The sequence below is a fragment of the Homo sapiens genome, chromosome X (genome assembly GCF_000001405.40).
Source record: "Homo sapiens chromosome X, GRCh38.p14 Primary Assembly".
Lineage (NCBI taxonomy): Eukaryota > Metazoa > Chordata > Mammalia > Primates > Hominidae > Homo > Homo sapiens.
In genome coordinates, this window is record NC_000023.11 from 154,627,917 (window position 1) to 154,653,685 (window position 25,769).

At 55.6% G+C, this 25,769-nt stretch overlaps 1 protein-coding gene, 1 long non-coding RNA gene and 1 pseudogene across 3 annotated transcripts, besides 6 other annotated features; all 3 read right to left on the reverse strand.

Annotated features, from left to right (window-relative positions):
• Positions 1-4,553: 4,553 nt before the first annotated feature.
• On the reverse strand, positions 4,554-5,266 carry FAM223B (family with sequence similarity 223 member B). The gene has a single exon (NR_027402.1). It is a non-coding gene; the product is annotated as a family with sequence similarity 223 member B (long non-coding RNA).
• Positions 6,816-7,694: a non allelic homologous recombination region, noted in NCBI's record as "IKBKGP1 upstream recombination region recombines with the IKBKGP1 NAHR recombination sub-region within the IKBKGP1 recombination region". NCBI's record gives the evidence for it as "EXISTENCE:nucleotide sequencing assay evidence [ECO:0000219][PMID:19603533]".
• Positions 6,817-7,425: a mobile genetic element, noted in NCBI's record as "direction; forward".
• Positions 11,475-20,359, reverse strand: IKBKGP1 (inhibitor of nuclear factor kappa B kinase subunit gamma pseudogene 1; annotated as a pseudogene).
• Positions 18,212-19,981: a meiotic recombination region, noted in NCBI's record as "meiotic double-strand break mapped by DNA meiotic recombinase 1 chromatin immunoprecipitation followed by single-stranded DNA enrichment and sequencing in the germ cells of some male individuals with the PRDM9 A/A and PRDM9 A/B genotypes". NCBI's record gives the evidence for it as "EXISTENCE:chromatin immunoprecipitation-seq evidence [ECO:0000229][PMID:25395542]".
• Positions 18,506-19,117: a mobile genetic element, noted in NCBI's record as "direction; forward".
• Positions 18,508-19,386: a non allelic homologous recombination region, noted in NCBI's record as "IKBKGP1 NAHR recombination sub-region recombines with either the IKBKGP1 upstream recombination region or the IKBKG NAHR recombination sub-region within the IKBKG recombination region". NCBI's record gives the evidence for it as "EXISTENCE:nucleotide sequencing assay evidence [ECO:0000219][PMID:19603533]".
• Positions 19,235-19,403: a mobile genetic element, noted in NCBI's record as "direction; forward".
• On the reverse strand, positions 24,061-25,663 carry CTAG2 (cancer/testis antigen 2). Of its 2 annotated transcripts, NM_172377.5 has the most exons (3): positions 25,331-25,663; positions 24,581-24,715; positions 24,061-24,351 (listed from the first exon to the last, which is right to left on the reverse strand). In NM_172377.5, exons 1-3 carry the CDS (start codon positions 25,597-25,599, stop codon positions 24,213-24,215), a joined length of 543 nt encoding a protein of 180 aa, NP_758965.2. In that variant the 5' UTR covers positions 25,600-25,663; the 3' UTR covers positions 24,061-24,212. The 2 variants fall into 2 exon arrangements, with proteins under 2 accessions (NP_758965.2, NP_066274.2); NM_020994.5 differs by having other exon boundaries at positions 24,061-24,715.

Consider the following 25,769-nt stretch of genomic DNA (forward strand, 5'->3'; position numbering starts at 1 on the left):
CCTTATTTTTCTGGGACAACAAGATGATCCAGTTAATCTTGGACTTTCTCTGCCCTAGCCCTGGAATCAGTCATTTCTCTAGTGAGCTCTGTTCTTTTTAATCAAGACGGTTGTTTAGAAATCGAGACCCAGGCACTAAGTCAACTCACTGCTATTGAGATGGTCCCAGGCCTTCTAAGTGATGGAGCTGAGAAATACCCATACACACAGCCCTATTTTACAGCTATGCTTATTTCTATACCTATCTGTATATTGAAAGCCATCAGTGTATCAGGCCACTCTTGCACCGCTATAAAGAAATACCTGAGACTGGGTAATTTATACAGAAAAGAGGTTTAATGGGCTCTTGGTTCTGCAGGCTCTGCAGGACGCCTAGTGCTGGCATCTGCCCAGCTTCTAGAGAGGCCTCGGGAAGCTTCTACTTGTGGTGGGAGGCAAAGCAAGAGCTTGTGTATCTCATGGCGAAAGCAGGAGCAAGCGAGAGAGAGAGAGAGAGAGAGAGAGAGAGAGAGAGTGTGTGTGTCGGGGCGGGGGGAATGCCACCCACTTTAAAATGACAAGATCTCTCGAGAACTCACTATCACGAAGACAGCACCAAGCCATTCATGAGGGATCCACCCCCATGACCCAAACACCCCCTACCAGGCCCCACCTCCAGCCCTGGGGATTACAAGTTAACATCAGATGTGGGTGGGGACAAACATCCAAACTAGATCAATGAATTCACACCAACAACTCCAAATCGAATCCACATTCAAGCCTTCTCTCTTTTCATATCTGCAACTCCTTTTCCAAACGGTGAGAAAGCCAGGTCCCTACATCATTCATATATTTACTGCAAAGCCAGTCAACCATCTGAGCCCATCAGGTCACCACCCAACTTGGCACACGTTCCTCTCTTGGACCCCTGACCCCTCCCCAGGACACAGTCACCCTCGCCGACTCCCTTCCTTACTCCACAAAACTTCCTTGTGCAGGACACTGCTGCGCTCAGCGGAGGATCGTGCTTCACACTGGTCCCCAGCTGCCCTCCACGCTTTCCTTGAGTGGGCCCCCAATCCCAGGGGCTTTTGGAAGAAGAGGGGGAGAAGGACAGGACCGAGGAAGAGAGGCAGGAAGGAAGACCAGCAGAGCAGCCGGCAGGAAGGGCCATTATTCCTTCTGATGCTCCATTCGTAGCCAATGGCAACTCAAATTGGTTGGCAGCAGTGTCCTCCTGACAAACGCTGTGGTCATGTCTCAGATTTACCTCCAGAGGGAGCACTTCAGTCCATAGTCTTGGTGCCAGCTGCAATGGCATTAGCATTGCTTTGAAGGCTTTTCAGGGGACAGAGAAAGCAAATGGGTATTTTTTAGAAAGAGAAAAATAAATTGAGTTCATCACGCCTGTAATCCCAGCACTTTGGCAGGCCAAGGTGGGAGGATGGCTTGAGCCCAGGAGTTCGAGAGCAGCCTGGACAACATAGCGAAACCCCATCTCCACGAAAAAATAAAAAATTAGCCGGGCGTGATGGCACGCGCCTGTAGTCCCGGCTACTCGGGAGGCTGAGGCGGGAGGATCGCTTGAGCCCGGGAGGTTGAGGCTGCAATGAGCTGTGATCGTGCCACTACACTCCAGCCTGGGTGACAGAGTGAGACCCTGTCTCAAATAAATAAACAAACAAACAAAGAAATAAAAAGTTAGACAGCTTTTACTTTTTGGATATATATATTCCCTATTCCCTGTGGATATTCACAAGCCTTTTTTTTTTTTTTTAAGTTTTTAAAGTTCAGTTGTTCTGTCATCTGTGTGGTGCTCCAGCATCTGTTTTGAGTCTCTCTCTGTCACCCAGGCTGGAGTGCAATGGTGCCATCTCGGCTCACTGCAACCTCCACCTCCCAGGTTCAAGTGATTCTCCTGCCTCAGCCTCCCGAGTAGCTGGGAGTACAGGCGCCCACTACCACGCCCGGCTAATTTTTGTATTTTTAGTAGAGACGGGGTTTCACCATATTGGCCAGGCTGGTCTAGAACTCCTGACCTTGTGATCTGCCCACCTCGGCCTCCCAAAGTGCTGGGATTACAGGTGTGAGTCACTGCACCCAGCCTCCAGCATCTGAACTCTTAGTCTCATGGTCTCTTTCCTGCCCTGGGTGTGCTTAGTTTTTATGTGCACTGCTCAGTGTCATTAAGAACTTTTTTCCCCCAGTGCTCCTAAAGTTGTTATATTAATACATCGCTCTTTTTATTTTAAGAGCTCAGGTGTACATGTGCAGGTTTGTTATATGAGTAAACTTGTGTCATGGGGGTTTGCTGTACAGATTATTTTATCACCTAGGTATTAAGCCTAGCACCCATGAGCTATTTTTCCTCATACTCTCCCTCCTCCCAACCTCCGCCCTGCAAAAGGCCCCAGTGTGTTTCATTCCCCTCTATGTATCCGTGTGTTCTCATCATTTAGCTCCCACTTATAAGTGAGAACATGTGGTATTTGGTTGTCTGTTCCTGCGTCAGTTTGCTAAGGATAATGGCCTCCAGCTCCATCCACGCTCCTGCAAAGGACATGCTCTCACTCAGGAACTTTTGTGGAGACTGCATCTCAACCCCAGGCTCCCACGAATCCACACATCCGTTGGGGTAACCGTTGTGGGTTGAATTGTGTCCCCCAAAAAGGTATGTTCAAGTCCTAACACCTGGGTGCCTGGGAATGTGACCTGATTTGGAAATAGGGTCTTTGCCGATGTAATCAAGTTAAGGTCATACTAGATTGGGGTGGGCGCTAATCAAATGTGACTAGTGTCCTCATAAGAGAGAGAGGCAGACACACTGGGAAGATGACCCCACGAAGAAGGAGGCAGAGATTGGAGCGGTGTCTCTATGAGACAGAGAGTGCCAGGGATTGCCAGAAACCACCTGGAGCTACGAGAGAGGCATGGAACAGATTCTCCCACAGAGCCTCCAGTAGGAACCAACCCTGCTGACAGCTGGATTCCAGACTTGTAGCTTCCAGAACCACGGGAGAATCCGTTTCTGTTGTTTTCGGCCACCCAGTTTGTGGCCATTTCTTACGGCAGCCCTAGAAAACTAATATGGGTACTGTCGGCCCAGGACCACCTCAGACCAAATTTAGGACTCGAGGGCCACTGAACGGCCCCACCAGGAAAACCTAGACTGCAAGTCTGCACAGAACCTGGCCCTTGGCCACAACTTTGCACAGGGGTGTTTTCCCTTTCCTTTCATCTCCTGCTTCCCCGCAATCTGCAGAGCTGGGGTGGGGTTTCCTTAATGTAGCGGGGGCTGCTATACAACTCCCCACACTTCACAAAGGCTTTGGGCCTTGCCTGCTGTCTCCCTTGCCTGGACGGCCTCCAGAACCAAAACCCAAGTTTGCCCAGGTCGGCCAGCGTCCTCGGGAAATAAGCAGCTTCAGTGGCGTACTTCTTCTTGGATTCCCACTTCCTCTCAGGTTTTGCTCTCTTGTTGGTTCTCAGCTGTTTTGAACAGTCTCAAACTGTTTCATCTATCATTTGCAGTTATTTTCAGCAGAAATATCTGTCTCAATAATACCACCCAGCATCACCAGAAACAGATGGCAGGTCTTGCAGTGCTTTCGGGGATGGACAGACAGACCACCCTGACCACCGCCCGCTAGGTGCGGGAGAAGACTTATTTCCAGCTATAGCACACATTTGTCGACTTTGGCTCTCCTAGACTGAGAAAGCAAATCTCACCCCTTCCCCTCAGGCCTGCGACACTCGGAACCAACGCGACCGATGGAATCCCTGGATCTCCCCGCTTCCTGTGACCGCTGAGTTCTGTTCCTCCAAGGGTACAATGACATCCATCAGCTGCCTGCCCCCTGCTGACACACTTTCTGTTTGAGGGTTTCCCTCTCAATGACTATAGAGAAAGCAACCTGGGCCGGGTAGAAGAGCAGCTGCTAGTCTCCTGGTTGGTACCAACCCTGGGTCTCTGAGGAAAGGACAGAGTAGGGTCACTCTGCTTCACAACACAAAGTCGCCCATTCTCCCTGCCAGTTCTCAAGCCTGTAATCCCAGCATTTGGGGAGGCCCAGGTGGGAGGATCACTTGATTTCCAGGAGTTCGAGTCCAGCCTGGGCAACACAGTGAGACCCTGTCTCTACTGTTAAAAAACGTAAGGAAGGAAGGAAGGAAGGAAGGAAGGAAGGGAGGGAGGGAGGGAGGGAGGGAGGGAGGGAGGAAGGGAGGAAAGGAAGGAATAAGGAAAAAAGGAAGGAGGGAAGGAAGGAAGGGAGGAAGGAACGAAGAAAGGAATAAGGAAGAGGGAAAGAAGGAAGGAAGGAATAAGGAAGAGGGAAAGAAGGAAGGAAGGAATAAGGAAGAGGGAAAGAAGGAAGGAAGGAATAAGGAAGAGGGAGTGAAGTAAGGAAGGAAGGAATAAGGAAGAGGAAGGAAGGAAGGAAGGATGAAAAAAAGGTCACCTGTCAAACATAGCTTTAGGAGAGGATGTAAATGTTCAATGTTGGTCTTCTTCTGTGTCTTCATTTGCATTTTCATGGGAGCTTACAGGAGGCGCCCAGGTGTCTTAGACAACATTTTTAAAATAACGACTTGAGGTTTAATTCACATGCTACACAATTCACATGTCTAAAGTGTACAATTCGATGGTTTTTAGTATATTCATAGATACGTGCAACCATCAGCATGACCAGCTTCAGGACATTCTCATCATCTCAAAAGGAAACTCTGTCTCCATCAGCAGTCACTCCCCGTTTTCCCCCAACTCCTCCAGCCCTGGGCAACAACCAATCGACTTTCCTTAGACAACGTTTTGAGCCCTTATTGGGAGGAATTATAGTCGAATGGAAAATCCAGTTTGGGACGTGGTGTAAACTGGAATTGCTTTCGTGGTTTTTCCTTGTGCCTTGGGTGGGGCACTGCCGTAAGAGCATTGCATCCATCCTTTCGTCGGTACTCTGCTGCACACGGATGGCATTTCTGCCCTTGTTACAGATGAGGAAACTGAGGCTCAGAGACATTAAGCAAGGGGCAGAGTGGGGCTTGTCCATGAGACCCCAGAGTCTGTGCTCTTGCACATACATTATCAGGCCAACATGATCTATCCATCCGAATTCCAAATAAATAAATAAAAATGCTTATAAGAAGTCCCCCCATGCTGCGGGGAGGCAGCGGCTCATGCCTGTAATCCCAACACTTAGGGAGGCACAGGTGGGAGGATTGCTTGAACCCAGGAGTTTGAGACCAGCCCAGGCAACATGACAATACCTGCATCTCTGCAAAAACGAAAAAAAAAAAAAAAAAAAAAAAAAAGACAAAAAGAAGTCCCTCCAAGTTAGTCGCCATGCTCTCTACCATGGGTTTTCTGTGTTATCCCTATCACATGCATACAGTCATTTCTACCAAGCACCATTTATGGTGACAGGGTATGGTCTACAAAAATATTGACAGAGAAATCCTGATGGAGCTCAAGACAAGCTCAGGCCACCAAGAAATGTGCACCGAGTGTAGCTGTGCCGAGCATCGTTCTAGGGCAGGGGTCCCCAACCCCCCGGCCACGGACCGATACTGGTCTGTGGCCTGTTAAGAACTGAGCCACAGAGCAGGCGGCGAGTGGTGGGCACGCGAGCGAAGCTTCATCTGTGTGTACAGCTGCTCCCCATTGCTCGCATGACCGCCTGAGCTCTGCCTCCTGTCAGATCAGCCAGCGGCCTCAGACTCTCACAGGAGCGCAAACCCTATTGTGAACTGTGTGTGCGAGGGATCTAGGTTGTGTGCTCCTTAGGAGCATCTGACTAATGCCTGATGATCTGAAGTGGAAGAGTTTCATCCCCGAACCGTCATCCCACGCCCCATCCCCGTCTGTGGAAAACTCGTCTTCCACAAAACCGGTCCCTGGTGCCAAAAAGGTTGGAGACCGCTGTTCCGGGGGATGGTGCCTGACTGAGCTGGAGGAGGCCTCTGCTCTCCCTCTGGTGGAAGGAGAGAGAAAACAAAGCAGAATAAATGAGGCCGTTTGGACTGCCAAGCTGGGAGTTAAAACAGTGCAGTGTGATTTAGGATGAGGACTTTAAGATGAAGAAGGTGATACGCTTAGAACTGTTGAAAGTTTAAACTTAGAGCTGAATGAGAAAAAGAAATCGGCCATGCAAAGATGAGGGGACAACAAGGACAAGCGCCGTGTGTTCGAGGAAGGGCCAAGAGGCCAGCGTGTGTGAGGTGCGGCCGGCATGTGGTGCGGCTGGGTGCAGCGGGCCAGCAGGAGAGGGACATAACGTGACGTCCCAGCGGCATGAGGGCTCTGCGAGCCAGGCTGAGGATGAGTTCAGGTTTCCAGGGCAACTGAAGGGCATGGCAGGGTTTCAGCAAAGGTTTACCAGATGACACTGGCTGCCATGTGGAGAGTAGATCACAGGGAGCCCACGCTCTCCAGTGTGAAAGCAGCAAGGAGGTCACTGTGATAGTGTAGGCAAAAGGTGAAGGGACTCAGGAGTTTGGATCATGAGAGGAAGAGGAATCCGTTTTGGTTTAAGCAACTGGGGATGAGGGAAAGGGCAGAGTTGGCAGGGGGTGGGGGCTAAAAGTCCATTTCTGGCTTGGACGGGCTACTGGGCTCATTTTCGTGAAGGAACAGATCAGGACTGGAAGACAGAAATCTGTCATCAGCATCAAGGCCTTGAAGATGGACGAGGTCACAAAGGGGCAGTGTCTGAGCAAGGAGAGGAAGAGAATTCGGGAGTCAGCTCGGAGACACAGGAACCAGCAAGGAGCCTGCGAAGCAGCTGCCAGGACGTGGAAGGAGAACCAAGGGGTCTGAGGAGGAGAAAATGATGGTGCTCGGAACTGCAGAACCTCTCGGCAGGCACACTGCACTCAAACCCCTGCCCGAAGACACCCGGCCACCACCTCGCGGGGCCTCTGGGAGCCTAAGGCCGCGCCCCTGGGACGCCCCAGCCCCCTTTTGAGTGAGTTCCCGTCTGGAAACGCTCAGGGCTGCCCAGAGCATGTACTGTCTGTTCCGGCCAACACCTGACCTCCCTTTCTGACAGCATTTACTACAAAGGGCTTACCCTGTCCCTTTGAGACATCTGTGTAGCACCCACAACCCAGGGGCTTTCCCGAGGGCCCCGCAGCCACTCCTTGGAAACGGAAACCTCAGGAGGCGCGGGGCCCAGTCTCCCAGTCTCCACGGGACGGAAGCATCCCAACCTTGGTAAGCACCGGCAGCTCCCACACACGGCTGGCCTCGCGGCAAGGACGCTGGCTGCCCCGTCATCTTTCACCTGAGCCTGCACTCGCCCCCTCCCGACTCCCTCCTTCTCCCTTCGCAAGGCCAGGCCGCCTCTGCTGGGGCGGGAACGGAGCTCAGCTCTCTCCCCCGCAAGCAGGGGTTTCTGAAGAAGATCTCTTTTGCCAGCTTGAACAAAGGCCCGCTTTTGTGTACCTTTGTGTATCTCCGGTGTTCTTGTCAAAAGAGGAGGACAGGCACAGAGGCCCGCGGGGACAAGGCCACAGGATGACGGAGATGGAGGCTGGAGAGGTGCAGCCGGCGGCCCCCGGCGCCGTGGAGAGGCCTGGAAGGCAGCTCCCTCGCGGCCCTGGCGGGGAGCCCACCCTGCCGACACCACCGCTAGCTCAGCCTCCAGGCCTCCAGAAGCGGGAGGCCACGCGTTTCTGTGGCTTCGGCCCCGCAGTCTGTGGTGCTTGGTCACGGCAGCCCCAGGAGACACAGTCAGCCCCTGCCCCGTGCCTTGCTGAGAGGCTGTGTCAACAGCGGGCTCTTCCCTGCCACTGGCACAGAAGAAAACCAAGCTGCGTTACCACCCGAGCGACTGTGTGGGAAGACGTATTCTCTGTGTATCAAAGGAATGCGTGCAAATGATAGGCATTTAGGAAAGGTACTAACATGTAAGGAAAACTTCTCATTACTGGCCACCCAGCTACTCACGTCCGTCCAAATGTTAGCAGGGTATGCACTCAGAGCTTTTACTTCTCTATTGGGGTCACGCTTTATCCATAAGTTTGTCACCTGGCCTGTTCACACCAACATGCTACAAGGCATGTTGCGTGTGAGGAGATGTTCAAAATGCCAGCTGTGCCGGACCACATCGTTACATACGCAGCCTCTTATCTCACCCCGACCTTTGGCAGCTACAAATGACGAAGTGAAGCACCTTCCCAATGCCAGAGTCATCGCTGAGTGCCCGACTCTCTCTTAGGGTTACGCACCAGGGCTGAGGACGCTGCCTACGGGCTTGCTCCATCCCAGCAAATGGCCCCCTCGGAAAGGGCAGCATTGCAAGGGCCGCTGTCCTGCACCTTGCCAGCAGAGCGCTCACCTAGGGCTTCATCGGTTGCCATTTTCAGATCACTTTTTGCTTGCCGTCAGACTTGCTGTTGTTTTAGTTACTGATGAGGGTGAAATGCTTTCTCACTGTGCTTACTGGTCGCCCGCACTGTTCTTGTGCATTGGTCGGCAGGAGGGGGAGCGCGCATGAACACCAGAGAACGCCACAAGCTCCGGCAGGGATGGGCTTCGTTTGTGGATCAAGGGGCCGCAGCCAATAGGGCAGGCAGGCTGGTTCCCTCCCAAGAGTAATCCAACCAGTTGTTCTGGAAGCTCAACCTAAGTAAAGCCGAAAAGGAAAACACTGGAATGCCGTACTTCTGCGCAAATGGTATGGTTTTAAATCCTTGGTGTCTGGTGTACGGTCAACCCTACACTGTGCTACCGGAGGAGGGAGGAGGCAGCCCCACCTCCGGGCAGGGCGGTGGGTCTAGACCAATGCCTGGTGGGTCTAGACCAAGATTCTGACTCGGTTGGTCCAGGGGGCCCAAGCAGGGGTGTTTTTCCAGCTCCCAGGCACTGCTGCTGCATTTGCCCTCATCTGTGTGCACTGGAACATGTCCCCATACTGGGTTGTGTGATGGCCCTGAAGAGATACGTGCATATCTTATGGGTGTGACCTTCTTTGGGAAAAGGGTCTTTGCAGATGTAATGAATGCCGAGATGAGGAGATCATTCTGGATTATCCAGGTGGGCCCTACATCCAATGACTGGTGTCCTTTATGAGACAAAAGGGAAGACACAGACGAAGAGGAAGAGACTGTGTGATGACAGAGGCAGAGACTAGGGTGATGGCTCTATAAGCAACCAGCAGAGGCTAAGACAGAGACCTGTAAACGATTCTCTTGGCACCTGCAGAGGAAACCAGCCTTGCCGGACATAGTGGCGGGCACTTGTAATCCCAGATACTCGGGAGGCTGAGGCACAAGAATTGCTTGAACCCTGGAGGCGGAAGTTGCAGTGAACTGAGATGGCACCACTGCACTCCAGCCTGGGTGTCAGAGCAAGACTGTATCCAACAAGAAAGAAAGAGAGAAAGAGAGAGAGGAGAGAGAGAGGGAGAGAGAGAGGGAGAAAGAAAAGAAAGAAAAAAGAAAGAAAGAAAGAAAGAGAAAGAGAAAGAAAAAGAAAGAAAGAGAAAGAAAGAAAGAAAGAAAGAGAAAGAAAGAAAGAAAGAGAAAGAAAAAAGAAACCAGCCTTGCTGACAACTTGATTGCAGACTGTGGCTTCCAACACTGTGAAGGAGTTTCTGTTGTTTTAAGCCCCAAGTGTGCAGTCCTTTGTTACAGCAGCCACCGTCTACTCATACACCCTCCCTCCAAAAAAAAAATGTAAAGTGCTCTTGTAGAAAAATTGCAAGATTAGGATTTAAGTGCAGCACCCGTGAGCAGACAAGCTGTCTGTGCCTTTCACATTTTCCCAAGTAGAATCTGATGGGCACCTGGCTTGAAGAAGGGGAAAGGTCACTCCCCGCCCCCACACCCCGCCCCCAGATGCTGAGAAAGCCCTCAGGCCAGGTTAATTTTTAGAAGGCCTCATATCCCAATTCTAGCCAGCCTCACACTGTCAAATAGCAGGAAGCCCTGTGAGGAAGCCTCAGGGTGGATTCACAATATCCCGTTCCCAACCAGGGCAGCTTGGAGGAGGGCAGGAAGGAAGGCCCGGGTGCTGGGGAGTCAACTTCCAACTTTGTTTCCTTTGCTACAATTGCAGGGTTAATGCCCAGGGCTCTGACACCCCGGGAAATTTCCAGAATCTTGCAAAACAAGTAGAGTCGTCTGTTCTTCCTAATTGGGGCCAGTGTGGGAAATGGCATCACAAACTTCTGGAATATGATGAAACAGCCATCACCAGTCACACTGGGCAACAACACTCTTGGTGAAGACAAGAGCACGCTTCGGTGTTAGAAAAAGAAAAGTGCTCATGTGTGAAGCATCCCTCCCACAGACCACAAGGTGGTCACGACGACTCCAAAGTCAAAGCAGTAAAAGGGGGAAAAAATGGATAAATGTGACTACATAAAGAAAAAAAAACTTCGAGGCTGAGAAGCACCAGTAGTTTAGCAGGGTGTGGTGGCGCACGCCTGTGATCCCAGCTACTCGCAAGGCCGAGGCAGGAGGACTGCTGGAGCTCAGGAGGTCAAGGCTGCAGTGAGCTCTGATTGTGCCACTACACTCCCACCCGGGTGACAGAGACCTTATCTCAAAACAAAAAACAAAGAAACACTAGTAGCGAGGTCAAAGCAGGAAAAGATATCTGCAATTTCTATCACAGCCACAAACCCAATCCTGCTCATGGACAAAGAGTTTCTAAAAGCTGAGCAACAAAAGATAACCCAGTAGAAAAACGGATAAAAGATATGAGCAGCCCAGCGGGGCGCAGTGGCTCACACCTGTAATCCTAGCACTTTGGGAGGCCGAGGCAGGCAGATCACCTGAGGTCAGGAGTTTGAGACCAGCCTGGCCAAAGTGCTGAAACCCCCATCTCTACTAAAAATACAAAAATTGGCCAGGTACAGTGGCTCACACCTGTAATCCCAGCACTTTGGGAGGCCAAGGCAGGTGGATCACGTGAGGTCAGGAGTTCGAGACCAGCCTGGCCAACATGGTGAAACCCCATCTCTACTAAAAATACAAAAATTAGCCGAGCGTGGTGGCAGGCGCCTGTAGTCCCAGCTACTAGGGAGGCTGAGGCAGGAGAATAGGTTGAACGCAGGAGGCAGAGGTTGCAGTGAGCTGAGATCACGCCACTGCACTCCAGTCTGGGCGAGAAGAGCAAAACTCTGTCTCAAAAAAAAAAAAAAAAAATACACACACACACACACACACACACACACATACATATACACAACTATACATATACATATATATATATGATATGAGCAGCCCATTCAGAAGCAGAACTAAAAAAGGTCCTTAAAGCCTCAGGAAAGATGTTTAAGCTCACTCTTAACAGAGAACTGCATGGCCTAGCGAATGACAAAAACCCAAACGGGCTTTCCCACCTCCTCCTTGGCAAGGCTAGGGAAATAGGGGGTGGGGAGAGATGGGAAACCAAGCTCCAAGGAGGAAGGGGGCTCAGGTACCATCTACGCCATCGCCCATGCTCAGTGGTGTCACTTCTCAGAATCTATGCCAAAGATACGCACGACTAATGCACAAGGATTTTTACTATGCCATTATTTATGGTAACAAAAAGATGGGAAACAACCCAAATGTCCATCAATAGTGACTGGTTAAATACACATCGGTCTGGCTGCAAAATGGAATAGCATGCAGCCCAAAAGGAGAGCACCCGTGTGCATGGTAAGAGGGCAGCACTCCCAGGGCACAGCGGCGGGCGGGTCGGTGTCCGGTGGGAGGAAGAGCGGCCACCCAGCTCTGCCAGGGGAAGCAGTTCTCCCTGAGAGCCCCAGGCCCCATTCTTGACTTCCCCAGTGCCGGGTGGAGGAAGAGGGAGGGATTAGCCCGAGGCAAGTGGTTCGAGCAGACAGAAGGGAACAAAAAGAGCAGCGAGTCAGGCCTGATCGGGGCCGCATCTACCCCAAAAGAGGGGACCAGCGGATCAACAGCTGAAGCGTAAGGTGCCGCGGCCAGCTCCTGGGTGGGGCTCCAGGTGGCATCCCAGTTGTGGCCACCCAGCCCTTCATCCTGGGCTAGGCAGGCGGGAGAGGAAAGCGCAGACTGCACGGTCCCGGGCACGTCCTCGGCAGGCAGTGGCCTTGCACTGGCCGGCCCTACTCAATGCACTCCATGACATGTATCTGCAGGGTGTCCATATCAGGGGCCTGATACTGGCACTTGGGACAGCAGAAGTCAGGTGGCTCCTCGGGGGGGCTCCTCCTCTGGCTGGGCAGGGCCAGGGGAGAGGAGAGGTAGGCTGGGAAAAGAGAAGAGTCAGAGGGAAGGGGAGGATGGAGGGGGACGGAGACTTGGCAGGACTGTCAATGGCAGGCCTGGTCTCACAGGCCACTCATGTAAGACCAGGAGCCGCCGCTACCACGGCATGCCTCCCTTAGCCTCGGGGAAGGGGGTGGGCTACCGATGGGGTGGCCTACACGAGCTCCCGCCGTCAAGTCTCCAGAGAGCAACAGGAAGGTCGAACTGTGACCTCCCGCGGCGCAGCACCTGCCCTCCCCACCCACCTCCTCCCGCAGGCCCAGTTCTCGCTCACTCACCAGGGGCGGGGGGCAAGGGGGCCTGGGAGACCTCGACATGCCGCTTCCTCATGTCCTCGATCCTTTGGAAACAGAAACCGTCCAGTCAAGCCACGCATTTCTGTAAAGCTCCTTGGCTGGACTAGTGTCAAAGCAGCTCTTGGAAGCTCAGGTGAGAGGAGAGGGACCACAGTGAGCCCTAACCCAGAACACCAGGAGCCATCCGTCTCCTGTGGTCACCACTGGCAACCCCCCAGTGTCGCACCCACTGCGGGGTCACCACTGGCGACCCCCCAGTGTCGCACCCACTGCTCACACGGGCACGCTCTCAGAGGCCCACCTGGCCGACTCCTGACAGCTGGCCTTCAGTTTGCTGTACTCCCTCTGCAGCTGCTCCAGCTGCTCCTGCAGGAGCTCCTTCTTCTCGGCCAGCTTCTCCCGGGCCTGCCTCTCAGCCTGGAAGTCCGCCTTGTAGATATCCGCCTGGCAAATCCAACAGAAAGGGATGTGCCCGCCACAAGCCAGCCACCCACCAGGCACTGCGCCAGGCACCACAGGAACAAAGCAGAACCCACTGCTGTCCTCCCAGAGCCCCCAGCGGCGCAGAGGAAACAGATACGTCGGCGAGTAATGCCAAGCTCACCGAGAGGTCTAAGGAGCAGCACAAGTGGCTCAGAAGCTTACGAAAGGCCACTACAAAATGATGCCAAAGAGGCCGGGTGCGGTGGCTCACGCCTGTAATCCCAGAACTTTGAGAGACTGCGGTGGGCAGATCACCTGAGGCCAGAAGTTCGAGACCAGCTGGGCCAACATGGTGAAACCCTGTCTCTACTAAAAATACAAAAATTAGACGGGCATGGCGGCAGGCGCCTGTAATCCCAGCTACTCAGGAGGCTGAGGCAAGAGAATTGTTTGAACCCGGGAGGCAGAGGTTGCAGTGAGCCAAGATCGTGCCACTAGTGGCACTCCAGCCTGGGCAACAAGAGCAAAACTCAATCTCAAAAAGCAAAAGCAAAAAAAAAAAAAAAAGACGCCAAAGAGACTCTCCAGGTCCCAGTGCCAGGGTGGGTCAGAGAGGAGGGCCCTCACCTGGGCCTTCAGCACCGGAACGGTCTCCATCACAATCTTGTGCTGCTCGGCCTCCTCCTTCAGCTTATCGATCACCTCCTGTTTGGCCACCAGGGCCTCCTCGGCCTGCTGGAGCTGCTGTTTGAGATCTTCCAGCTGCATTCCCTAAGGACGGGCAAGGGGAGCTGACGGAGCCTCGTCAGCCCAGGGCGAGGCTGGCTGAGAAGAACTGAGAAGGATGAAAGAGTGGCCCTGGCTGACCAGGCTGGGTGATGCCAGCCCCTGATTTGAGGGCCCATTGCAGGATCTCAGCGTGCACAGGGAGATGGCTGCGTCCTGTCACGGCCCAAAACGACAGAGGAGATGCTGAGGTTTTTTTCAGGACTGAAGAGGCCGCTGAGGTCATCTGGTACAACCTCCCAGCTGGGCCGACATTCCCTTCCCAGAATCCCCAGCTCCACAGCCCTCCTCCCACCCTTCACAGGCCACAGGCCACACCCACTCACAGCCAGCCGGTCCTGTGCCCGCCATGTGCACAGCTCAGCTGAGAGCCCTCAGTCCTTCCACTCTGCCACCTGGTCAGAGGTGCACTCCTCCCACGCAGGCATCTCCAGCCCCCTGAGACACACACAGACACACCCCACCAACGCCCCCCTCCAGAGATTAAGTGGCCAGTTTTGTAGCTAACTCTTCCCCATGTGACCTGGCTTCAGGCTTTGTCCTTATAAATCTCCTCTGGGTACACTTACGATTGACGGTGTCCTGCTAAAATGTGATCACTAGCAAACTGCACCCCAGCTTAGGTCTGATGAGGACAAACTAGGAAAAGGCTCCCAGCCAACACTGGGGTGGAAATGCTGTCGGGCTTACCTTGGCTTGGGGGAAGCTGAGCCAGGTGCCAGATGGCGATGGCTGGCAAGAGGGAATGTCCATGGAGACAAGACGTCCCCAGCCCCACAGAGGGAGCACCCCAAGGCTCTGGCCCAGCCCCCCATTAAGATGGCCTGCTGACACTCCTGAGAGCAACATCCTGGGGTTGCCATCTCCCCACAGCTTCCCTGAGCTGTCGCAGCTGCAGCCTGACACAGGTCTAAGGCAAGTCTAAGGCAGGTCTACCCATTCTCAAGGTTCAGGGCCACGGGGAGAGGAAGAGGCAAGGCCAGCCCTAGAGCCCCAGTGGTCGCACTCACTCGCTTCCGCTCACTGCCCACCACGCTGCTCTTGATGTGGTTGTCGTATTCTTGGAAGAGCTGGTGATAGGCCACCTGCAACTGGGCCAGCTTCCTCCTGAGGAAAGGGAGCTTTTGCTGGAGAAACCACCTCATGCCAGTCCAGCCACGGTGCTGCCTGCTTCCAACTCTACCCCCTTCCTTCCCTCCCTCGCATCACAGGCCTGGAATGGGGTCTTCCAAGGCTGTGTGAGGACTCCTGAGGCCGTCAACTCTAAAGCAGGCTTTGGTGGGCTGGTCACCAGGCAGTTAATATCGTTTTCCTAAAAGCTAGTATTTTTAATGTTTATAATAAAATCGCGGCCAGACGCGGTGGCTCACGCCCATAATCCCAACACTTTGAGAAGCCAAGGCAGGAGGATCGCTTGAGCTCAGGAGTTCAAGACCAGCCCGGGCAACATAGGAAAACGCCACCTCTACCAAAAATGCAAAAATTAGCCAGGTGTGCTGGCCTGCGCCTATAGTCCCAGCTACCTGGGAGGATCGCTTGAGACCAAGAGGCGGAAGGTACAGTAAGCCGAGATTATGCCACTGCACTCCAGCCTGGACGGTAGAGCAAGACCCTGTCTTGAAAATAATAGTAATAATACAATGGAACTACCCTGCACTGTTCAAAACTGTGAACTTCACAAACAGCTCAGAAAGGCAGGGGAACTGTTCTAGATTAAAGGAGACTGAAAAGGCACGCCAAGGACAGGAACCTGAGGTCCCAGATTGGATGCTGGTAGACGGGGGGGTTTGGGGGTATTTTTGTTGTCTTTCTGTTGCCCAGGCTGGTCTTGGAACTCCCGGGCTTAAGCCATCTACCCACTTTGGCCTCCCAAAGTGTTGGGATTACAGGCGTGAGCCACAGCACCTGGCCTAGAAGGGGTTTTAAAGGACAAGTCCCCTGATGACCTAGTGGCTAGGAAAAAAAAACTACAAAAAAGGCCACGTGTGGACACGCAGTGAAACGTGGTCTGGAGAGCAGATGGCATGACTGTATCAAAGACAAACCGGGTGTCATCATGGTCGCCTCTACCGTTAGCAAGGCTAAGGGACAGAATGGGCCCACAGCCACAGGCAGAATCTGAAGGAGTCCTCAGAAGGCAGAAAGAACCATGGACCCGACACTTCTCAGCCTTTCGGCTAAGATCAAGTGTAGAACCACAGACCCTGCGGTGCGGCCCCGCCCCCGCTGACTCACTTCTCCTCCGAGGCGGCCTGGCGCTCCATGCGGAGCGCGGCCTCCACGCTCTGGCCCTGCATGCGCAGCTGGTCCACCTGCACGCTGTGCTGCTGCTGCAGCGCCTCGCGCTCACTCTCCAGCTGCCGCGCCTGCTCGCTGGCCGCCCGGGCCCTGGCACGGGGAAAGAGCAGACTCAGGGAGGACGAACGGGGGGACGGGAGGGGCTATGCGCAGGGCGTGGGCGGGGGGTGGGGGTCGGCTCTGAACACCCTGTGACTGCGAGCTGATGCCAGGCGGCAGGGTGGAGGCACCGTCAACAGACACGAGGACAACTGCAGGGGGCCAGGTGGGAGCAGCAGGTGAGGAGCTTTGCTTAAGACGTGTTTGCTTCAATGCAGGGGCCCAGCAGGTGACCAAGTACAGATGGCAAGGAGACCTGGAAGCCAGGGGAAGGGGGTGGTCCGAGAAAAGGATGGGGTCGCCTGCATCCCGCAGTGCTGGGGCCAGGTGAGAGGAGCCCTCGGAACTGCCCGTGGAGTTCCACTGGGGGACTGCTGGGGGCCCCAGCAAAAGCAGTCTCAGTGGAGGGGGTCAGGAGAGACTGCTGTTCCAAAAATGAGAGACTGCCCACCTGGGCGTGCAAGCACTGAGCTCAATGCAGACCGGGCCTCGGCCCCATCCCTGCTGCTGCCCAGAGCTCTGCTGGAGTCCCAGACGACCTGCTCGGATGCTCAGTTCCCACACCTGCCCCCCTACAGCTCCCTTAACCTCCAGTTTCCAGGGTCTGGCCTCATCCCACCACACCAAGCCCTTCCACAGCCTCACTGCAGGGACAATGGTGGGTGCATCTGTCCAGGTCCTGGGTGGCCTCTGGCCACAGGCAGACACGGCCCTTCTCCAGTCACCCCAACTCTGCCTGGCAGGCCTGGCTGCTTGGCTCTCCCCTCCGCGCCTGCCTGCATACTGCCCCCACACCCTGCACGGGTTCCCTCTGCCCATCAGAGCCTGGGTCAAGCTCCCCTCCCCTCTGCCCTGCTGGCTGCCCCAAGTGCACCTTGACCGCCTACTGTGCTGGGATGGCTGGGGCCCCCCTGGCAGCTGATCCATCTGTCTGGAGGGCAGAAGCAGGACCGAATGAGAACCACAGAAACCTCCCTGCCCTTTGACCCAATGGTCCCACTCACAAGAACCAAGACCCCTTTGCAAAAGAGAGTAACCAGCAGGCCTGAGGCCACCGGCTGGCAAGGTTGGCCCTTGGCTGGTGAAGTTCCCTTGCCACAGTGACACTTTCTCTAGTGGTCAGGTCGGTCCCTGCACCTAGGCCATTTGTAGGAAGAACGTGGTTGACGTGAGCACCCGCTCTGCTGCTGGGAGTCGGGGATTTAGGTACCTGCCTGGCAGAGGGCGCTGACAGGACCTGCCCCCAGTAAACACCCAGGGCGCTGAGTCTCTAGCGGGCATCCCTGGGCAGGAACATGGCCCGTGTGGGAGGCGCTTCTCACTGTGCCGCTCGCAGGGCAGCGGGAGGCTGGGACAGGGCTTCTCCAACTCCCCCCACGGCTCCTGCCCTGGCGGCTCCTGCCCTGTGCCTTTTTCCCTGTCATCAACCTCAGCCACGAGGGCGACTGTGCGCCGGTCCCAGAAGTCCTTCCAGAGAACTAGACACTGTGGGTGTGGGCTCGGGGCCCCCAGAATGCCTCCTAAGGAAATAATCCAAACTCCATCAAAGGGTCACAGAGTGCGGAGAGCCGGCTGGGACCCAGGTCCCGGATGCCTGGCCCAGACCTCTCCCGACGTCTGCCCCGACGTGTTTACGCAGCCTGCCCCGGTCTATCCTCATCAAGGAGCACCCTGGAGGCCCCTAAACCCACCTCATTGCTTTTGGAAACCCTGCAAGGGGTCTCCGGAGCCGGCTCCCCCGACTCACCGACCCTCCAGAGCCTGGCATTCCTTAGTGGCAGCCTCCAAGCGACTCTGGCTCTCCTGCAGCTCCCCGAGCAAGGACGTCACCTGGGCTTTCACAGAGGCCTTGTCCTCAGCCATCTGCTGCAGGATAAAAAGCCACTTCCTGTCAGCACTGCTTTCTCCCCAGCGGCCCACTCCTGCCATCCGCAAGCCCGGGGCAACCCGCAAGCGGCTGAGGCCTGCGCGCCATGAGGCCTTTTTTCCTGCCCTCGGCACCCCCAAACCTGGGTGCCCTAGGGCCTCATGAGCCCAAGGGCCACCCAACCCTCCCCAGCTGCCCACCTTAACCCTCTGCCACAGGGTGACACACAGATGGGGCAAAAAGAGATCCCCAAAGAGACGAAGGAGCACAAAGCTGCCTTGAGGTTGTCAACGGCTTAGTCACTGCCCCGGCAAGCAGGCCTCGAGGGCTGAACCCGGTGGCCTTGCAGCTACAGCCCCAGCAGGGGATCTCTCTCCGTCTCTCTGAGACTTGGGACAAAAGGAGGCCAGACACGAATAGGGCAAAGTAAACACAGGCCCCAGTCCACACCCGGGGCCGCCAGGATGGGAGAGTTTGTGCAGATCAAGAGTGGACACTGAATTTTGTTAAACACTGGGAACTGCAGAACCTCTCGGCAGGCACACTGCACTCAAACCCCTGCCCGAAGACACCCGGCCACCACCTCGCGGGGCCTCTGGGAGCCTAAGGCCGCGCCCCTGGGACGCCCCAGCCCCCTTTTGAGTGAGTTCCCGTCTGGAAACGCTCAGGGCTGCCCAGAGCATGTACTGTCTGTTCCGGCCAACACCTGACCTCCCTTTCTGACAGCATTTACTACAAAGGGCTTACCCTGTCCCTTTGAGACATCTGTGTAGCACCCACAACCCAGGGGCTTTCCCGAGGGCCCCGCAGCCACTCCTTGGAAACGGAAACCTCAGGAGGCGCGGGGCCCAGTCTCCCAGTCTCCACGGGACGGAAGCATCCCAACCTTGGTAAGCACCGGCAGCTCCCACACACGGCTGGCCTCGCGGCAAGGACGCTGGCTGCCCCGTCATCTTTCACCTGAGCCTGCACTCGCCCCCTCCCGACTCCCTCCTTCTCCCTTCGCAAGGCCAGGCCGCCTCTGCTGGGGCGGGAACGGAGCTCAGCTCTCTCCCCCGCAAGCAGGGGTTTCTGAAGAAGATCTCTTTTGCCAGCTTGAACAAAGGCCCGCTTTTGTGTACCTTTGTGTATCTCCGGTGTTCTTGTCAAAAGAGGAGGACAGGCACAGAGGCCCGCGGGGACAAGGCCACAGGATGACGGAGATGGAGGCTGGAGAGGTGCAGCCGGCGGCCCCCGGCGCCGTGGAGAGGCCTGGAAGGCAGCTCCCTCGCGGCCCTGGCGGGGAGCCCACCCTGCCGACACCACCGCTAGCTCAGCCTCCAGGCCTCCAGAAGCGGGAGGCCACGCGTTTCTGTGGCTTCGGCCCCGCAGTCTGTGGTGCTTGGTCACGGCAGCTGTAGAAAACTCATCCACTTCCCACACAGGAAATCAACGCCTTAAGCCAGGCGCTCTAAGCCCTGAGTGGAGCGGCGTGCACAGCCCACCATCCACGCCTTTCCCCAGGGGAGTGGAGCCTGGCTGTGGCAAGTGCCAGGTACCCGCCAGCAAGTCTCCTCTCCAGCACTTCTCTCCACCTTGCCCCTCAAAGGGAGCACGGCCCCTTCCTGACTACCATCGCCAGGATCCTGCGATCAGCCAAGCCCACACACAAAGACCCTGAAACCAGGCGGTCTGTGCTAATGACACGATTTATGGGGGGAGCCTTGGGCCACACAGCTGGACCTCTGGTGGCTACAGCCGAGTGACCAGGGTTGGCCACGCAGGCGCTCGGTGCCCACGCGGCCCACCCCCCGTGAAAACCCCGGCCGCCACGGCTGGGGTGAGCTTCCCGGTTGTGACTCCGTGCTCGCTGTCCCACACTGTTGCCGAAAGAAACAGGTGCCGTCTGCACAACTCCCCTGGGCGAGGAGCCGCTGAAGCTCACGCCTGGTCTCTCCTGGAGCCCGCCCTGTGCGCCCTGAGCCTTCGCTCACCGTAACCTGTGTCCTTTCCTTGTAATAAACCGGAACTGGGAGTGTGACGGCTTTTCTGAGTTCCGAGCCCTCCCGGCACAGCACTGAGCCCCAGGGTGCTTTGGGGGACCCCGACCACGGGTTCCCTTGTGGAACACTGGCGTCACCGCGGGTTTTCAGAACCTGGCCCTGCCCCGACTACCTGCTGGCATCTCTTCAGGTGCTCCACCTCCCGCAGAGCCTGCTCCTTCTGCCTCTTCAGATCGAGCTTCTCCAGGCCGAGTCTCTCCACCAGTTTCCTGGCCTCCTGGAACTTGCACATGAGGAACTCCTTCTCCTCCCTCTGGCTGGCTTGGAAATGCAGAAGCTCCTCGCAGCGCTCCCGCAGAATCTGGTTGCTCTGCCGGATGGCATCTGGTGGCAGAGGGGACAGTGGAGGGGAGCTGGGCAGCCCGGCCTGCCGGGCCCTGCCTGGGCCCACATGGGCCTGAGGCTCAGGAAGTCAGAGGCCAGAAGTGGGACCACCCATCCTGGTGCCCCCACCCGCCATAATACCACGCAGCTTCTCTCAGGGGTGGATGGCGTCTCAACACTCCCTTTTGTTTCTTTAAACACTTCCAAAATCCTTTACACTAATGCCCCTCACTTTCTGCAAGAAAATAACACCAAACACATCAGCTTCACTTAAAAGTACGTCTCAAATGTCACTTTAAAAAATTTTTTATTTTTGGCTGGGTGGGGTGGCTCACGCCTGTAATCCCAACACTTTGGGAGGCCGAGGTGGGCGGATCATGAGGTCAGGAGATTGAGACCATCCTGGCTAACATGGTGAAACCCCGTCTCTACTAAAAATATAAAAAATTAGCCGGGCGTGGTGGCGGGCACCTATAGTCCCAGCTACTCGGGAGGCTGAGGCAGGAGAATGGCATGAACCCCGGGGGGCAGAGCCTGCAGTGAGCTGAGATAGTGCCACTGCACTCCAGCCTGGGCGACAGAGTGAGACTCCGTCTCAAAAACAAAAAAATTTTTTTTATTTTTGTAGAGACAGGGTCTTGCTCTGTGGCCCAGGCTGGTCTCAAACTCTCGACCCCAAGCGATCTTCTTGCCTCGGTAGGTACACACGCAAAAACAGATGGCCGCAGCCTTCCACACGGCTGACTCTGCAAACAGCGAGATTCTCCCTCTCCCACAGGGCAGTGCGCTCGCGGATACTCCTTTCTCTCCATCTCAGGGACTCACCTCTCTGGGTGTCTGCATGGGAGCCTCGCCCATTCCCCCTCCTCACCAACCTGGCCATTCCGGCGCCCGTGTGGGTGTAAATTGGGGGCATCTTTCAAGACAGGGCAGAAGGAGAACCTGCTCTCTGTCTGCTCTCCACCTCAGGGAGCCCTCCTGCCCTCTTGCGTTTCCTCCTGGGCCCTTGAGGCCACTTGAGGGAAGAGAGGGGAAGCCTAACACACTGGAGACACAGCTTCAGGAAGGAAGACACAGAGCTGAGCCAAACAAAGGAGGCCGCTCTGGGAAGCTCAGGGAATGAGGCCCCAGAGGACAGATGAGCATCATGGGCAGAGCGGGGTCAGATTCCCCGTGAATTCAATACCTCAGCCAAGCAGGGTTTACATCCTAGGGCAGGAGGGGAAGAGGCAGCTCCAATTAAGGAAGGGCCGCCCTCTGGAGACAGGCCCCGGGTCACTCCGGGGGTCTCCCTGCAGCGCCTGTGGTGTTGCTCCCAGACTCAGTGGGCCAGCAGGTCCCTACCTGACAGTTACTGTGCTCCTGGATCTTCATCTTTGCTCCCTGGGCTTCTGCTTTTGTGCCCGTGATGTTGGCTGCAGGGGCCAGTGGCTCAGCACCTGGTCAAAGTTGTCTGGATGCAGTTACAGCTGCAATGCAGCTGGACTTCTGAGTCAGCCCGGCCAGGGTCGCGGCCCTGGGGCATGGTGACCTCTCCCGGTGCTGCTTCCCCTGGGGCACGGTGACCTTGCTGGGGCGGGCACATGCTGGACTCGTGGCCAGGTTTGCCCGGGCCTCCCCGTTTCACCAGGAGTCAAACTCCTCTAACCGCGTGTGACGACCACTCTGCATGTTTGAGAGGACGGAAGTTAAGTGGACTCTTCAGACTTGACTTGGAATTCTGGAATATGAGGGCTAGAGGGAAGCATTAGGGACCTCTTCACCTGAGGCTGGGGTGTGTTCTGCCACAGCCCTGACCCATGCTCCCACCAGCTGTGACAGAGCCCTCAAGGGCTGGAGCGCTCACTGGCTCCCAAGGAATCCCGCTGGCATGACAGGAAGGTCTCTCTGACATTGCTGCTGGTCTTTCAGTTTTCCTTTGCGCACCTCGGGCTGAAACAGAGCGAGTTCACTGCGTCCCTGCATTCCAGGAAGCTCCCCAGGTCTCAGCGTCCTCTCTCAGCTTCCATCCGTCCCTGGCCTTGACAGAGAGCCGGGCCTCTCCTAACACACCACCGATCCAGAGGAGAAGGAAGCCGCTCACACCCTCCGGGGCAGGCATGCGGAGGTGGCATTCGCCTGGCTTCCTGCTGGGACTTCCTCACAGCGTGCCCACGTCTCTTGGAAAAACTCCTCTGCTCTGAGACAGAACCGGCTTTGGCACAGCCTGGATGTACCAACCCCCCTCGCCTTCCTCAGTTGTGCAGTGATTTGTTCAGCCTTTCCGCAGCTGGTGGACATTTACATTCTAAAAACTATTTACGTGGTGGTGTCATTAAGATGCTGGTGGATTCTACCTCATTTGCATATCCAGGAGTTTCTCAGATGGATTCCTCAAGGTGGGTGGAAGGGAATGTACATCTTTCCCTTAATAGAAAATGCCAAATAAATGTCCAGATAGATGTTACTACCACTCCTACTGACAGTGTATGAGTCCTCGTTTCCAACTACAGCCTTGCCAAGCATTGGAGATTGTCAACTAATATTATTAATCTTACATTAAAATCTGCTATGTTCCCACCGAGCAAATGCTAAAACAAAACTCAAAGGGATCAAGTTGTCTCCGAGCAACTTAAGAGCATCCCAGAACACAGCTCAAGCATATGTCTGTTTTGCTTTGACAAACAGCCCCTTTCCAACCTAGCTCTGCCCAAGATGGTGCCAGCGTGACCTCCCGGCAGACAAGACACCTCAGCATGTCATGCAGACCCCACAGCTGCCTGCTCCCTCCCCTGCCTACCATTCACGCCAAGTCCTCCTTTAAAAGGCCCTGCTTTCTGCCCCCAATGGGAAGCAGTGCTCTTAAAGGCAGGAGCCTGTACGTCTTCCCCTAAACCAAGCATGGCAGAAAGTCAGTTTCTTTACAGGAAACCTTGCTCTTGTTCATTAGACTCTGCAAGCAGTAAGAGAATCTGTGTTAACATTACGTGTTTACAAACATTTTACGCTGTTCACATTTACTATTATTATTACTTTAGAGTCAGGGTCTCGCTCTGTCGCCAAGGCTGGAGCTCAGGGATGCATTCATAGCTCACTGCAGCCTCGAGATCCTGGACTCAAGCCACTTTCCCACGTCAGCCTCCTGAGTACCTGGGACTACAGGTTCCTGCCACCACTCCCTCCACCCCTAATTTTTAAATGATTCTTATAGAGATAGAATCTCACTACATTGCCCAGGGTGGCCTCCAACTGCAGGTCTCAAGCCATCCTCCCACCTGAGCCTCCCAGAACAATGGGAATACAGGTGTGGGCCACCATGCCCGGCCCATATCACATGTTTAACAGTGAAATAATGCTGGTTTTATGCATCTATTCAAGTACATGTTTTTGAAGCATTTTTAGAAAGCACAAAAGCTCATATGTTCAATGAAAACAATTTGGGAAAAAATTTAATGCTGACCTGGAAAAACATTATATATGCTACTGTCATATATTTAACATATAAATGCAAGTATATTGAGGAAAATATTCTAAAATGTCCACAGTAGTTAATGCTGAATGGCGGGACCCAGTGGCTTTTCATTTTCCCCCATTTCCCAAATTGCCTCCCGTTACCTTGTGCTACTTCAATCTGTGAATCCCAGAGCCTCCCCTACAACCCGAGGACAAGGGCATGCAAGTCCGAAGGTGCCTTCGCTCGCCGAAAAGAGACTCAGACACGGAATCGTAGCTCAGCTTTATTTTCTACAGAAACAAACATGTAAGCCGTCCTCCTCCAGCGACAAACAATCAGGCCCCCACAATGAACTGGCCACTCGTGCTGGGACCATTCCCTAGGGGAGGAGGCATGACCTAGGAAGGGGCGCCAGGCTGGGCTTAGCGCCTCTGCCCTGAGGGAGCCTGAGCCAAAAACACGGGCAGAAAGCACTGCGTGATCCACATCAACAGGGAAAGCTGCTGGAGACAGGAGCTGATGGAGAGCTGCAGTTGGCGGTGGTCTGCAGCAGTCAGTCGGCTAAATGTGAGGGGCAGAGAACATCACATTAAAGGCGACACCTCTGCACCCATCTCCCTGGGCTCCCTCGGGTGGCGGCGGGCCTGGTGTACCAGGTCTCTGTTCTGAGACCTTGTGTTTGGGTGTTCTGAGATCTCTAGCTTTCTGCCCCTCCGGGGAGGCGGATCCCAGCCCCCAACCCACCACCCTCATCCGCCCAGCGCCTTCCCTGTCCTGGTCCCGAACTGACATAAACAGTAGGTTGCCGGACACGGTGAAGTCCTTCAGAACCGCCCCTGGTCGGGGGAGCGGTGCGGCATCCCGGGACAGGATCCTGCGGACCAGCTCCGCTTCCATGGGCGACGAGAAAGGCATCGTGATGTGCCTGGTGGGGACCCAGTTAAGGTGCCATCTCCTAGGATTTGGCCGGTGCCCATCTCATCCCCTCAGGCTGTCTCCCCACGCACTGGCCCAGGTCCTGCAGCAACCCCACCCAGCTGTCTTGATTCCCCACTTTCCTCTGTTGCACCTCAAGCTGACTCCTGCGTGCCCTTCCAAGGCCCTCCCCACCATGCCCCCTGCCGCATCAGCCGGGACCTCTCCCCATCGCTTGACACCACCCCCATCCAGCCCACACCCCAGCCACCGGCTCCCACCTTGCACGCTTCCCCCCAACTCCTGATCCCTTCACACACCCAAGAACCCCTGTCTCCTGTCCCCCTGCCCCTCACCCCATCGCCCAGCACCCAACTGTGCACACGCTCCACCTCCCATCCCCTACCTACTCCCTTCCTCTGAGCCACCCCTCGACCTCCAACTCCCAGCCCCCACCCCCACCCCACCCGGCGCCTTACCCCCATCTCCCAAACCCCACCTTCCGCACCTGGCCCTGCCCTCACCCACCTCCTGGCCCTGCCCCCCACCTCTTGACCCTGTTGTCTCCGTCTCACGGCCCCCACCTCGCCACCAGAACCTCCTAGAACAGAACAGAACAGGATACAACTCAAGCAGGCGGCTGTCCGGCCTCCTGGCCCCGCAGGGGCACCTTCCATCCTGCGCAGAAGCGGCACCGCCATGCGGACCCCGCGGGGCGCCTCCTCTCGGCCCCGAGGCCCTTGCTGCCCCTGCGCCCCGGGGACCTCTGCCGCCCGTGGCACCCGCCTCTCCTGGGCCGCCAGCATTGCCCCCTGGGCCATCAGGAATGCCAGGGCCTCCTGGGCCATCAGCATCGCCCGTCGAACCCCCTGTGCCCCGGCCTTCGGCCTGCATGGCTCCGGAGCCTCTGCCCGGCTCTCAGAGAGAAGGTCAGGGCCCACGAGGATGCGGAGGCAGAGAGGCTGCAGGAAGTTCCGCCCCCTGGCGTGAGATGGGCAGCCCGGGATCCTCAGGGCGCCTGCGCACAGGGGCCCTACTTCCGGCCCTGGGAGACCCCGAGTGAG